The sequence below is a fragment of the Homo sapiens genome, chromosome 1 (assembly GCF_000001405.40).
Source record: "Homo sapiens chromosome 1, GRCh38.p14 Primary Assembly".
NCBI lineage: Eukaryota > Metazoa > Chordata > Mammalia > Primates > Hominidae > Homo > Homo sapiens.
This window is the reverse complement of record NC_000001.11, coordinates 154,287,940-154,302,668: the sequence shown is the minus strand read 5'-3', so window position 1 is coordinate 154,302,668 and position 14,729 is coordinate 154,287,940. Positions and strand designations below refer to the sequence as shown.

The 14,729-nt window shown below is 43.7% G+C and overlaps 1 non-coding gene and 2 pseudogenes across 1 annotated transcript; all 3 read right to left on the bottom strand.

Annotated features, from left to right (window-relative positions):
• On the bottom strand, positions 4,921-5,019 carry RNU6-121P (RNA, U6 small nuclear 121, pseudogene; annotated as a pseudogene).
• RNU6-239P (RNA, U6 small nuclear 239, pseudogene) lies at positions 7,068-7,166 on the bottom strand (annotated as a pseudogene).
• Positions 14,142-14,209, bottom strand: LOC124904806 (small nucleolar RNA SNORD59). The gene has a single exon (XR_007067387.1). It is a non-coding gene; the product is annotated as a small nucleolar RNA SNORD59 (small nucleolar RNA).
• Between the last annotated feature and the right edge of the window lie 520 nt (positions 14,210-14,729).

The following is a 14,729-nucleotide window of genomic DNA, read 5'->3' as shown; positions in this document are numbered from 1 at the left end:
ATGCCTGTAATCCCAGCTACTCAGGAGGCTGAGGCAGGAGAATCACTTGAACCCGGGAGGCAGAAGTTGCGGTGAGCTGAGATTGCACCATTGCACTCCAGCCTGGGCAACAAGAGCGAAACTCCGTCTCAAAAAAAAAAAAAGAAAATTTAGCTGGGCGTGGTGGTGCACGCCTGTAATCCCAGCTACTCCGGAAGCTGAGGCAGGAGAATCGCTTGAACCTGGAAGGCAAAAGTTTCAGTGAGCAGAGATTGTGCCACTGCACTCCAGCCTGGACGGCAGAGTGAAACGCTGTCTCAAAAAGCAAAAAACAACAACAACAAAAAGAAGAATGAATCATGCGGTGGCTCGCGCCTGTAATCCCAGCACTTTGGGAAGCTGAGGCGGGTGGATCACGAGGTCAGGAGTTCAAGACCAGCCTGGCCAAGATGGTGAAACCCCATCTCTACTAAAAATACAAAAAAATTTAGCCGGGTGTGGTGGCAGGCGCCTGTAATCCCAGCTACTTGGGAGGCTGAGGTAGAGAATTGCTTGAACCCAGGAAGCAAAGTTGCAGTGAGCCAAGATCGCCCCACTGCACTCCAGCCTGGGCGACAGAGCGAGACTCTGTCTCAAAAAAAAAAAAAAAAGGATCTGAGTAGTGCAAGTGGTAAACTGTAGAAAACACCGGTGTTTCACCCAGATTCCCTTTCTAGGATCATAAGCCTACTCCCCAGCTGCTAGGAATATCAGCCACTGATGGCCCACCGCTGCCTCCCTCACTGGACATTACCATCAGCCACAGGAAATTGTTTTGACCTTTCTTTCCTGCAGCCAATGATTGGCTAATGCAGTGACACAAAATCATGGTCCCTTTGCCTTCATTTGGGACAGCTCTGAAAAATTATCTTCATTCCAGGGCTGTCTGTAAAATCCAAGGATCAGTTAAGGTTCTGCTGCAACCACATTGTGTGTCAGCTACTCCCTCTGCTCAATTCTGCCTTCTTAACTTAAAAAAAAATTTTTTTTTCTGCTGGGTGTGGTGTCTCATGCCTGTAATCCCAGCACTTTGGGAGGGTGAAGTGGGTGGATCATTTGAGGTCAGGAGTTCGAGACCAGCCTGACCAACATAGTGAAACTCTGTCTCTAATAAAAATACAAAATTAGCCAGGTGTGTTGGCGCATACACCTGTAATCCCAACTACTCAGGAGGCTGAGGCAGGAGAATCACTTGAACTCAGGAGGCAGAGGTTGCACTGAGCCGAGATCGCACCACTGCACTCCAGCCTGGGTGACAGAGCATGACTGTCCCCCGCCACCAAAATTGGTTTTTAAAATATTTTCTTCCCTCAGAGATCCCTGTTCTGAATGTTTTTATTTATTTATTTATTTATTTATTTATTTATTTATTTATTTGGTAGATATGGGGGTCTCACTATGTTGCCCAAGCTGGTCTTGAACTCCTGATCTCAAGTGATCATCCCACCTCAGCCTCTCAAAGTATTGGGATTACAGGCAGGAGCTGCCACACCCAGTCTGACTTTTGATATTCTTTAACCTGAAAGACTCAAGGAGGGTGGCTAATGGTACAAAGTGTGTGGGTTGGAAAAACTAAATGTCTTAGATTGGTTCTCCCTGGAAACAGGCCCTGATATGGAGAGTTCCATGTAGAAGGTTTATGTGGCAGTGATCTTCAGAGATACACTTGTGAAGAAGTAAAGTGGCTGGGCGCGGTGGTTCATGCCTTCCATCCCGGGCGTGAGAATCACTTGAGCCCAGGAATTCGAGACCAGCCTGGTCAACATAGTGAGACATACCCCCATTCAGGCCTGGCTCTTTTATTCTTCTTTTTCTGGTAAAGGAATAAAAGAATGGCTACTCCATAAGCAGAGCAGCCCCGGCTCTTTAACAAAAAACAACAAACACATTTAGGGCTGAGTGCGGTGGCTCAAGCCTGTAATCTCCACACTTTGGGAGGCTGAAGTGGGAGGATCACTTGAGGCCAGGAGTTCAAGACCAGCCCCCTGGACAGCATACTAAGACCCCCATCACTACAAAAAAAAAGAAAAAAAAATCAAAAGGAAAGAAAAGAATATCAAAAGTCACCATATACGGCTGGGTGCCGTGGCTCACGCCTATAATCCTAGCATTTTGGGAAGCCAAGGTGGGTGGATTGCTTGAACTCAGAAGTTTGAGACCAGCCTGGGCAACATGATGAAACCACGTCTCTACAAAAAATACAAAAAATTAGCCAGGCATGGTGGAGCATGCCTGTAGTTCCAGCTACCTGGGGAGCTGAGGTGGGAGGATCACTTGAGCCCAGGAGGTCGAGGATGCAGTGAGCCAAGATCTCGGCCACTGCACTCCAGCCTGAGTAACAAAGTGAGAGCCTGTCTCAAAAAAAAAAAAAAGTCACCATATCCTGCATCGAGATCTCTCCCCTGTCACTTTGAAAAAGAAGAAAAAATTGGTTTTATTTTCATAGTTTCTAAAGTAATATGTGCTTATTATTCTTATACCACATACTCATGTTTCCAGGTAGAAGAACTTCTATTAGACCTTTTTTTTTTTTTTTTTTTTGAGACAGAGTTTTGCTCTGTGTCATCCAAACTGGAGTGCAATGGCGTGATCTCAGTTCACTACAACCTCTGCTTCCCAGGTTCAAGCAGTTCTTCTGCCTCAGCCTCCCAAGTAGCTGGGATTACAGGCACCCACCACCATTCCCAGCTAATTTTTTTTGTATTTTTAGTAGAGATGGGGTTTCACCATGTTGGCCAGGCTGGTCTCAAACTCCTGACCTCAGGTGATCCACCCGCCTTGGCCTCCCAAAGTGCTGAGATTACAGGCATGAGCCACTGTGCCTGGCCTAGACCAGTTTTTAAAACCAGGAATACTACTATCTCATAGGGAGAATTTTGAAAATTTGTAAGGCCAGGTGTGTGAGTACACGCCTGTAAATCCAGCACTTTGGGAAGCTGAGGTGGGCAAATTGCTTGAGCCCAGGAGTTTGAGACCAGCCTGGGCAACATGGCAAAAGCCCTTTTCTACAAAAAATACAAAAATTAGCCAGGCATGGTGGTGCATGCCTGTGGTCCCAGCTACTCAGAAGGCTGAGATGGGAGAATTGCTTGAACCCAGAAGGTTGAGGCTGCAGTGAGCCGAGATCACGCTGCTACAATCCAGCCTGGGCAACAGAGACCCTGTCTCAAAAAAAAAAATTGTAGTCAGAATTTTTGTCAATGTTGTTTCACAATGGGTGGGAAAGGGGCAGTAATTCTTACATTTAGTAGTCAGAGTCCAGATATTCTAAACATTCTGCAAGACACGCAACAAAGACTTGTTCTATGTATGTCCTACATGACTTTAGAATGTCCTACCATAGTGCATATAGGTGAAAAACTTGTTTATAATTATATGATCTCAGAATGTGACTCTTTTTTGTATATAAATACAAAGTAATTTTAGCAGATTTTTTTTTTCTTTTTTTTTTTGAGATGGAGTCTCACTCTGTCACCCAGGTTGGAGTGCAGTGGTGCGATCTCAGCTCACTGCAACCTCTGCCTCGCGGGTTCAAGCGATTATCCTGCCTCAGCCTCCTGAGTAGCTGGAATTACAGGTGCCTGCCACCATGGCTGGCTAATTTTTGTATTTTTAGTAGAGACAGCGTTTCACCATGTTGGCCAGCCTGGTCTTGAACTCCTGACCTCAGGTGATCTGCTTGCTTCTGCCTCCCAAAGTGCTGGGATTATAGGCATGAGCCACCTTGCCTGGCCCTAATTTTAAAATTTTTTTGTGGAGATGGGGGTCTCCTTATGTTGTCCAAGCTAGTCTTGAACTTCTGAGCTCAAGTGATCCGCCCACCTCAGCCTCCCAAAGTTCTGGGATTACAGGCGTAAGCCACCACACCTGGCCTCTCTTTATCCTCTTATTTTGCTTTTTGTTTGTTTGTTTGTTTGTTTTGAGACAGAGTCTTGCTCTGTTGCCCAGGCTGGAGTGCAGTGGTGCGATCTTGGCTCACTGCAACCTCTGCCTCCCGGGTTCAAGTGATTCTCCTGCCCCAGGCTCCCAAGTAGCTGGGATTACAAGTGTGCGCCACCATGCCTGGCTAATTTTTGTATTTTTAGTAGAGACAGGCTTTCACCATGTTGGCCAGGCTGGTCTTGAACACCTGACCTCAGGTGATCCACCCGCCTCCACCTCCCAAAGTGCTGGGATTACAGGCTTGAGCCACTGTGCCTGGCCTGTTCTTTAAGTGTTGACATGATTTAGCAATAAAGCATCTGGACCTGGGCATTTTCTTGTGGGACGATTTTAAATCCAAATTCTTTTCCTTTTCCTTGGTATAGGTCTATTTGGATTTTCTTTTTTTCTTTCTTTAGTTAGCTTTGTTAATTTGTCTCTTTCTAGGGTTTTCTCCATATCATTTAAATTCCCTACAATTCCTTCCTTCCTTCCTTCTTTCTTTCTTTCTTTTTTTTTTTTTTTTTTTTTGACGGAGTCTCACTCTGCCGCCCAGGCTGGAGTGCAGTGGCATGATGTTGGCTCACTGCAGCCTCCACCTCCTGGATTCAGGCAATTCTCCTGCCTCAGCCTACTGAGTAGCTGGGACTACAAGCATTCGCCACTACGTCTGGCTAATTTTTTTGTGTTTTTAATACAGACAGGGTTTCACTATGTTGACCAGGCTGGTCTCAAACCCCTGACCTCATTTGATCTGCCCGCCTCGGCCTCCCAAACTGCTGGGATTACAGGCATGAGCCACCACACTTGGACAAGATGTCCCTTCTTTCATTCTTGATTTTGGTAATGTGTATGTTCTTTCCTCTTTTCTTGGGCAATCTAGCTAAAGATATGTCTGTTTTGTTGATCTTTCCAAATAACTAGTAGTATTACTCTATATATATAGTACATTTGCTTTTATTTTTTCTTTTATTTACATGTAAAAATATGGAGTGCTTCACAAATTTGCATGCCATTCTTATACGGGAGACTGGCTAATCTTCTCTGAATTGTTCAAATTTTAGTATATGTGGTAGCCAATTGTCTTTAAACAAGTTGACCGTGATGTGTCTAGGTATTTGAGGTTTATTGAGATTCTTAGATGTGTAATGTTTTTCATCAAATTTGAAAAGTTTTTGGCTATTATTTTTTTTGTTTGTTTTTTGAGATGGAGTCTCACTCTGTCTCCAGGCTGGAGTTCAGTGACAAGATCTCAGTTCACTGCAATCTCTGCCTCCCAGGTTCAAGCGATTCTCCTGCCTCTAAAGTTTTTGTTTTCTATTTCATTGATTTTTCAGTCTGGCGTTTATTATGTTCTTTCTTCTATTTACTTTATGTTTGATTTACTCTTATTTTTCCAGCTTCTTGAAGTGAAAGATTGGATTATTGATTTTATTTTATTTTGTTTTTTATTTTTTTGAGGTAGAGTCTTGCTCTGTCACTCAGGCTGGAGTGCAGTGGTACAATGTCGGCCAGCTACAACCTCTGCCTCCCAGGTTCAAGCGATTCTCTGTCTCAGCCTCCCAAGTAGCTGGGATTACAGGCATGTGCCACCACACCCAGCTAGTTTTTGTATTTTTAGTAGAGATGGGGTTTCGGGTTTCGTCATGTTGGCCTGGCTGGTCTCAAACCCCTGACCTCAGGTGATCCACCTGCCTCGGCCTCCCAAAATGCTGGGATTACAGGCGTGAGCCACCATGCCCAGCCTAGATTATTGATTGTAGACCTTTCTTTCTTTCTACTAAAGGCATTTAAGCTACAAATCTTCTTCTAAGCATTGCTTTAGCTTTATCCCTTAAATCTTTCTTTTCTTTTTTTTTTTTTTTTTTTTTTTGAGACAGAGTCTCAGTCTGTCACCCAGGCTGGAGGCTAGAGTGCAGTGGTGCCAATTTGGCTCACTGCAACCTCTGCCTCCCGGGTTCAAGTGATTCTCATACCTCAGGCTCCCGAGTAGCTGGGACTACAGGTATGCACCATCATGCCCAGCTAATTTTTTGTATTTTGTTATTTATTTATTTATTTATTTAGAGACGGAGTCTCGCTCTGTTGCCCAGGCTGGAGTGCAGTGGCAAGATCTCAGCTCACTGCAAGCTCTGCCTCCCAGGTTCATGCCATTCTCCTGCCTCAGCCTCCTAAGTAGCTGGGACTACAGGTGCCTGCCACCACACCTGGCTAATTTTTTGTATTTTTAGTAGAGACAGGTTTTCACCATGTTAGCCAGGATGGTCTCGATCTCCTGACCTCATGATCTGCCTGCCTCTGCCTCCCAAAGTGCTGGGATTACAGGCGTGAGCCACCGTGCCCAGCCTTGTTATTTATTTTGACATGGAGTCTTGCTCTGTTGCCCAGGCTGGAGTGCAGTGGTGTGATCTTGGCTCACTGCAACCTCCGCCTCCCAGCTTCAAGTGATTCTCCTGCCTCAGCCTCCCGAGTAGCTGGCATTACAGGTGCCCGCCACCACACCCAGCTAATTTTTTTGTAGTTTTAGTAGAGACGGGGTTTTGCCATGTTGGCCAGGCTGGTCTCAAACTCCTGACTTCAAGTGATCCACTTGCCTCGGCCTCCCAAAGTGCTGGGATTACTGGTGTTAGCCACCACGCCCAGCTAATTTTTTTTTGTATTTTTATTACAGTCAGGGTTTTGCCATGTTGGCCAGGCTGGAACTAGTTAATTTTTAAAAATTTTTATGTAGTGATGGTGCCTTGCCATGTTGTTCAGGCTAGTCTCAAACTCCTGAGCTCAAGTAGTCCACCTGCCTTGGCTTCCCAAAGTGCCGAGATTACAGGCATGAGCCACCACACATGGCCGTAATTTTCTTTCAGCTCTTAAAATATCTCATTCCATTGCCTCCTGGTCTCCATTGTTTCTGAAGAGAAGTCTGCCGTTAATTGTGTACTTCTTCCCCCATATTTGATGAGTCTTTTTTTCTTGCTGTCTGAAAGATCTTTTTTGTCTTTTTATTGTAATCACTTATTTTTAAATTCATTCTTCCATGCTCAGATTTTTTGTATTCATCTGTGTATTTAACACAGTAGTATTACTCTCTATATATAGTACATTTGCTTTTATTTTTTCTTTTATTTACATGTAAAAATATGGAATGCTTCACAAATTTGCATGCCATTCTTGTACAGGAGACTGGCTAATCTTCTCTGAATTGTTCGAATTTTTGTACATGTGGTAGCCAATTGTCTTTAAACAAGTTGACCGTGATGTGTCTATGTATTTGAGGTTTATTGAGATTCTCAGATGTGTAATGTTTTTCATCAAATTTGAAAAGTTTTTGGCTATTATTATTATTTGTTGTTTTTTGAGATGGAGTCTCACTCTGTCGCTAGGCTGGAGTTCAGTGGCAAGATCTCGGTTCACTGCAATCTCTGCCTCCCAGGTTCAAGTGATTCTCCTGCCTCAGCCTCCTGAGTAGCTGGGACTACAGGCACACACCCCTACACCTGGCTAATTTTTGCATTTTTAGTAGAGATGGGGTTTCACCATGTTGGCCAGGATGGTCTCAATCTCTTGACCTTGTGATCTGCCCGCCTCGGCCTCCCAAAGTACTGGGATTACAGGTGTGAGCTACACACCTGGCCTTTGTATTATTTTTTCAACTACTTTTTTCTGACCCTTTGTCTCCTCTCCTTTGGACATGTATTACATGTATATCGGCATGCTTGATGTACCACTGGCCTCTGAGTCTTTTTGTTTTCGGTGTTTTTTTGTTTTTGTTTTTTGGTTTTTTTGTTTCTTTTTTTGAGACAGTCTTGCTTTGTCACCCAGGCTGGAGTGCAGTGACATGAACATGGTCACTGCAGCCTTGACCACCCAGGCTCAAGCGATTCTTCTGCCTCAGCCTCCCAAGTAGTTGGGACTATAGGGGCACACCACCATATCCAGCTTACTTTTGTATGTTTTGTTGAGATAGGGTTTCATCATGTTGCCCAGGCTGGTCTTAAACTCCTGGGCTCAAGCAATCCATCTGCCTCAGCCTCTCAAAGTGCTGGGATTACAGGTGTGAGCCACTGTACCCAGCTGTTCACTTTCCTGCAATCATTTTTGTCTCTGTCATTCAGACTAGATTATTATTATTGATCTATCTTCAAGTTTATTAAATTTTTCCTCTGCTATCTTAAATCTGCTATTGGGTTCATTTAGTAAAATTTTCATTTCAGTTATTTTACTTTATAATTCTAGAATTTCTGTTTGATTCTTTTTTTATAGCTTCTATTTCTCTGTTGAGATTCCATATTTATTGAGTCATTGTTAAACATTTTTATTTAATTCCTTGAACATATTTATAATATGTGCTTTAAAGTCTTTGTCTGCCAAATTCAACTTCTGGGCCTACTCAGAGTCAGTTTTTATTTTTATTTATTTTTTTTTTTTTTGAGACAGAGTCTCACTCTATCACCCAGGCTGGAGTGCAGTGGTGCCATCTCGGCTCACTGCAAGCCCCGCTTCCCAGGTTCACACCATTCTCCTGCCTCAGCCTCCCAAGTAGCTGGGACTACAGGCGCCCGCCACAATGCCCGGCTAATTTTTTTGTTAGCCAGGATGGTCTTGATCTCCTGAGCTCGTGATCTGCCAGCCTCGGCCTCCCAAAGTGCTGGGATTACAGGTGTGAGCTACTGTGCCTGGACTCAGTTTTTATTTTGTTTTTTATTGTTTTTTTTTTTGGAGACAGAGTGTTGCTCTGTCACCCAGGCTGGAGTGCAGTGGAATGATCTCAGCTCACTGCAACCTCCGCCTCCCAGGTTCAAGCAATTCTCCTGCCTCAGCCTCCCCAGTAGCTAGGATTATAGGCGCCCACCACCATGCCTGACTAATTTTTGTATTTTTAGTAGTGACAGGGTTTCATCATGTTGGCCAGGCTGGTCTCAAACACCTGACCTCAGGTGATCCACCCGCCTCGGCCTCTCAAAGTGCTGGGATTACAGGCGTGAGCCACTGCACCCGGCTAGTTTTCATTGACTTTTAAAATCAGGATATGAGTTACTGTTTTTTAGGTTTCTTCGCATGTGTCATAATTTTTTTCTTGAAAACTGATCATTTTATCCTCTTCCTCCTCTAAAAAACTGGTCATTTTAGATAATAGACTGTAATAACTCTGGATTCTGTTGTATTTTTCCGAAAGGTGGTGATGCTGGTGATGCTGATGGGGTGTGTGTGTGTGTGTGTGTGTGTGTGTGTGTAATTTGGAGTTAAACCGTAGAGTCTGGATTCTATTGTATTTTTCTGAATGGTGGTGATGCTGGTGATGCTGATGTGTGTGTGTGTGTCATTTGTCTGGAGTTAAACTGTAGAGTCTATCATTCCACAGTGTGCAGCTGCTAATGTGTCTGCTCAGTTTTTATTCTCGTTTTTTTTGTTTGTTTGTTTGTTTTGTTTTGTTTTGTTTTGTTTTGTTTTGTTTTGTTTGAGATGGAGTTTTGCTTTTGTTGTCCAGGCTGGAGTGCAATGGCATGATCTTGGCTCACTGCAACCTCTGCCTCCAGGGGTCAAGTGATTCTCCTGCCTCAGCCTCCTGAGTAGTGAGTAGCTGGGATTACAGGCATGCACTACTATGCCTGGCTAATTCTGTATTTTTAGTAGAGACAGGGTTTCTCCATGTTGGTCAGGCTGGTCTTCAACTCCTGACCTCAGGTGATCTTCCCACCTCGGCCTCCGAAAGTGCTGGGATTACAGGCATGAGCCACCATGCCCGGCCATTTATTCTTGTTTTTAAAATTTTCCCACAGGGGTCAGGCATGGTGGCTCACCTTTAATCCCAGCACTTTTGGGAGGCCAAAGCGGCTTGAGCTCAGGAGTTTGAGACCAGCCTGGGCAACATACCAAGACCCCATCTCTACTAAAAATACAAAAACTTAGCAGGTAGTGGTGGCATGTACCTGTGGTCCCAGCTACTCATGAGCTGAAGTAGGAAGATTGCTTGCGACTGGGAGGCAGAGGTTGCAGTGAACCGAGATCATGCCACTATACTTCAGCCAGGGTGACAGAGTGAGACCCCTATCTCAAATAATAATAATAATAAATTTTTCCAGCCAGGTGCAGTGGCTCATGTCTGTAATCCCAGCACTTTGGGAGGCTAAGGTGGATGGATCACCTGAGGTCAGGAGTTTGAGGCCATCCTGGCAAACATGGCGATACCCCATCTCTACTAAAAATACAAAATTTAGCCGGGCATGGTGGCACCCAGCTATACTCTCAGCTACTCGGGAAGCTGAGGTAGGAGAATTGCTTGATCCTGGGAAGTGGAGGTTTCAGTGAGCCAAGATCGAGCCATTGCACTCCAGCCTGGGCGACAGAGTTAGACTCCGTCTCAAAAAAAAAAAAATGTTCCCTCAAGGATTAGAACAGGAATTAAAAGAAATTAAAGACTGTAGGCCGGTCGCAGTGGCTCATGCCTGTAATCTCAGCACTTTGGGAGGCTGAGGTGGGTGGATCACAAGGTCAGGAGTTTGAGACCAGCCTGGCTAACACGGTGAAACTCCATCTCTACTAAAAATACAAAAAAATTAGCCAGGCATGGTGGCGGGCACCTGTAGTCCCAGCTACTCGGGAGGCTGAGGCAGGAGAATGGCGTGAACCTGGGAAGCGGGGCTTGCAGTGAGCCAAGATGGCGCCACTGCCCTCCAGCTTGGGCAACAGAGTGAGACTCTGTCTCAAAAAAAAAAAAAAAATTAAAGACTGTGTAAGCAAAAACTCAGTTGTATGTAAGAAAACCCAATTCCCCCTTGAGGAACAGAAAGGGCTGGAGTCCTTTAAAATTAACTGCCTGTTTTTCTCTCTGTGGCTAGTGAGCCTTATCTCTCCATTTACCAGGCATTGTGAAGACTCTGTTTCTCTAGCTGTGCAGCTGCAAGGTCACTAGACAGATAATCTCAAGTCGTAAAACATGTTGTTCCTTGAACAGTAAGAAATAATGTAATGCATGCCTTAACTGAATAACTGTCTTTGTCTCTCGCTTCTATAATACGCTTCCCCCCGCACAGATCTCCCCCCACCCCACGAAATGCTTAAAAGGTAGCTTGACTCTTTGTTCCAGGCTCAGTCCTTTGGATGTTAATCCAACTGGGTCAGTGAACCTAAATAATTAAATAACTCCTCCTCAATCCCTCGGTCTCTCTGATTCCTTAATTATCCCGCAGCAGTATCACCCCTATGCTTACATAGCACAGTGTTCAGCCAATGATTAGAATAAGCATTGTGTTCCAACACCTCAAGCCCATATAGCATCCACTTCTGCCAATATATCTGTTTGAAGGATGAGAAGTGTATTAAAATGTGCAGCAGTGTTCAAGTCTTCCTTGTCTTTTATTTTTCAGGGAGCTCTCTGAGCTATCCTCCATGCATATGATAGTTTCCCAGTGAGCCAGGGATGTGGGAGAGCTTATCTCAGCCCTTTTGTAGTTTCCTATTTTCCAGCTAAATTTCTGGCTTTTCCACCACTGAACACAACTAGGAGTGCTACTTTGAGTTAGTACAGCTAGAGGGTTTTTTGCCTGTTTATTTCCTACCAACTTCATATCATTCAGCTGAGAACATTGTAGGCTTTTGTCCGCCTCCACCTAACTAACTCCTACAATTTCAGTCTACCCACTGTGACAGCAAACATTGCTGATTTTCACAGCCAGTTCCATACTGGTAAAACTACAGTTCCCAGCCACCAAGGAAGTTGGATGGGAGCAGCCTCAGGCAAGAAGGCTGCAAACTCACATTGCTTTTGCTTGAAGCTGTAGCAGTTTTTCAAGAATAAAAGCTCCTCAATTTGTTTTCTGCCTTGCTCAGTTTCCAGAGACTTGAAATCATTGTTTGGGGCAATTTTATTTAATTTCATAGTTTTTTTGGTGAAGATTCACAGATCCCTTTACACTGCTATAGCCAGAAGTTCCTTGGTGTAGTTTTTATTTATTTATTTATTTTAATGTATCTTATTTTTATTTTTATTTTTTTTGAGACAGTCTCGCTGTGTTGTCCAGGCTGGAGTGCAATGGTGTGATCTCGGCTCACCGCAACCTCTTCCTTCAAGGTTCAAGCGATTCTCCTGCCTCAGCCTCCCAAGTAGCTAGGATTACAGGTGCCTGCCACCATGCCCAGGTAATTTTGTATTTTTAGTAGAGATAGGGTTTCACCATGTTGGCCAGGCTGGTCTCAAACTCCGGACCTCAGGTGATCTGCTGCCTCGGCCTCCCAAAGTGCTGGGATTACAGGCATGAACCCCGCGCACGTTCCTTGGTGTAGTTTTAAATTGACATGAGTGTTACTGTGCAAACAATATGGTTTTGTTTTTTCACTCATTACTATTTTTAAGATCTCTCCATGTTGTCTTTTGAATATTTTGTATATCTGCTGAGTAGCATTCTATACTATGCAACTCCCATATTTAACCTTTCTTTTTCTTTCTTTCTTTCTTTTTTTTTGAGATGGAGTCTCGCTCTGTTGCCCAGGCTGGAGTGCAATGGCGTGATCTCAGCTCACTGCAACCTCCATCTCCCAGGTTCTAGCGATTCTCTTGCCTCAGCCTCCCAAGTAGCTGGGACTACAGGCGCCTGCCACCATGCCCAGCTAATTTTTGTATTTTTAGTAGGGACAGGGTTTCACCGTGTTGACCAGGCTGGTCTCGAACTCCGGACCTCAGGTGATCTGCTCTCCTTAGCCTCCCAAAGTGCTGGGATTACAGGCGTGAGCCACTGCACCAGGCTTATATTTAACCTTTCTACTTTGCTAATGAAAGTCACCCAAAACTGAGTTCTAACATTGAGCTTCCACAAATAATGCTGTGATAAATATTCTTGCATGTGACCCCTTATGAATCTAGACACAAGTTTCTCTGTAACGTATATGAAGGAGTTGAGGACTAAACTCTAATTTTTTTTATCTTGCCCAAATTCCTATCTAAGGGATCTGGGGAGTCATGACCTACAAATCATAAATTCTCATCAGATAGGTTTTATTTAACCCTATATATCATGATTTACTTTCCAACCTGACTCTGGTATAACATTACGAGACAAAGAAGAAAATCAAAATATTTTACCCCAAAACATGTTTCTTTGTCATATTTTAAAATGCCCCTGCAAAGCTGTTCTTTGTGGGGAAAATCTACATCCATAAAGAATCTCTATTAACATAGCCAGGGCTGGGGGCGGTGTCTCATGCTTGTAATCCCAGCACTTTGGGAGGCTGAGGCAGGAAAATCACTTGAACCCAAGAGTTGGAGGCTGCAGTGAGTGGAGATCGCGCCATTGCACTCCAGCTTGGGAGACAGAGCGAGGCTCCATCTCAAAAAAAAAATATATATATATATATATATTTATACATAAATACATATATATAAAAATACATATACATATACATATATATAAATATATATATGTGTATATATATATACATCTTTTTCTTCCAGATCCTCCCAATCCTAAAGAGACTAACTGAGATCTGAATAGGAAACATTTGTCACCTATTGTCTCCAAGGCAGCCATTATGAGACTTCAAAAGAGCTTTGGTCTCCACAATCTTTATCTTAACCTGAACATTCCCTTTCTATCTATCCCAGCTCTTTAGACAACCTTAACCAATTGTCAACCAGAAAACATTTAAATTCACCTATAGCCTCGAAGCCCCCACTTTGAGTTGTTCCACCTTTCTAGACCAAACCAATGTATGTCTTAAATGTATTTAATTGATGTGTCATTCTTCTCTAAAGTGTATAAAACCAAGCTGCACTCCAACCACTTTGTGCACAGGTTCTCAGGACTTCCTGAGGGTTGTGTCACAGGCCATGGTCAGTCATCTTTGAGTCAGAATAAATCTCTTCAAATATTTTACAGAGTTCCACTCTTTTGGTCGACAGAGTAGAATTGCTGGGTCATAGAGCATGTGCATATTTAATTTCACAAAGCTCTGCCAGATTCTTTACTACAAAAATGGAAACGGCTGCATGTCTCACACTCCAGGAGTACAGCAGGGATTTGTTTCCTCTCATCTTGGATCTTGCTAATATTTGGTATTACCGGACTAATTTTTGCCTACCTGATGGGTGTAAAGTGGTATCTCATTATTATTTTAATGTGCATTTTTCTGATTGCGTTCAAGGTAGAGGATTAATTTATACTGTTGGTATTCAGATTTCCCCTTCTGTGATTGCTTACCATGTTTATTTTTTTCCTTCCCAGGAATGGCATCTGGGTTCAGCAAACTCAGAATGAAAGTCAGAAGCTACTCATCAGTGAGTGCTTAATCATGTTTTTTACCTATTTTCTTTTTTTCTTTTTCTTTTTTTTTTATTGATCATTCTTGGGTGTTTCTCGCAGAGGGGGATTTGGCAGGGTCACAGGACAATAGTGGAGGGAAGGTCAGCAGATAAACAAGTGAACAAAGGTCTCTGGTTTTCCTAGGCAGAGGACCCTGCGGCCTTCCGCAGTGTTTGTGTCCCTGGGTACTTGAGATTGGGGAGTGGTGATGACTCTTAAAGAGCATGCTGCCTTCAAGCATCTGTTTAACAAAGCACATCTTGCACCGCCCTTAATCCATTCAACCCTGAGTGGATACAGCACCTGTTTCAGAGAGCACAGGGTTGGGGGTAAGGTCACAGATCTACAGGATCCCAAGGCAGAAGAATTTTTCTTAGTACAGAACAAAATGAAAAGTCTCCCATGTCTACCTCTTTCTACACAGACACGGCAACCATCCGATTTCTCAATCTTTTCCCCACCTTTCCCCCCTTTCTATTCCACAAAACCGCCATTATCATC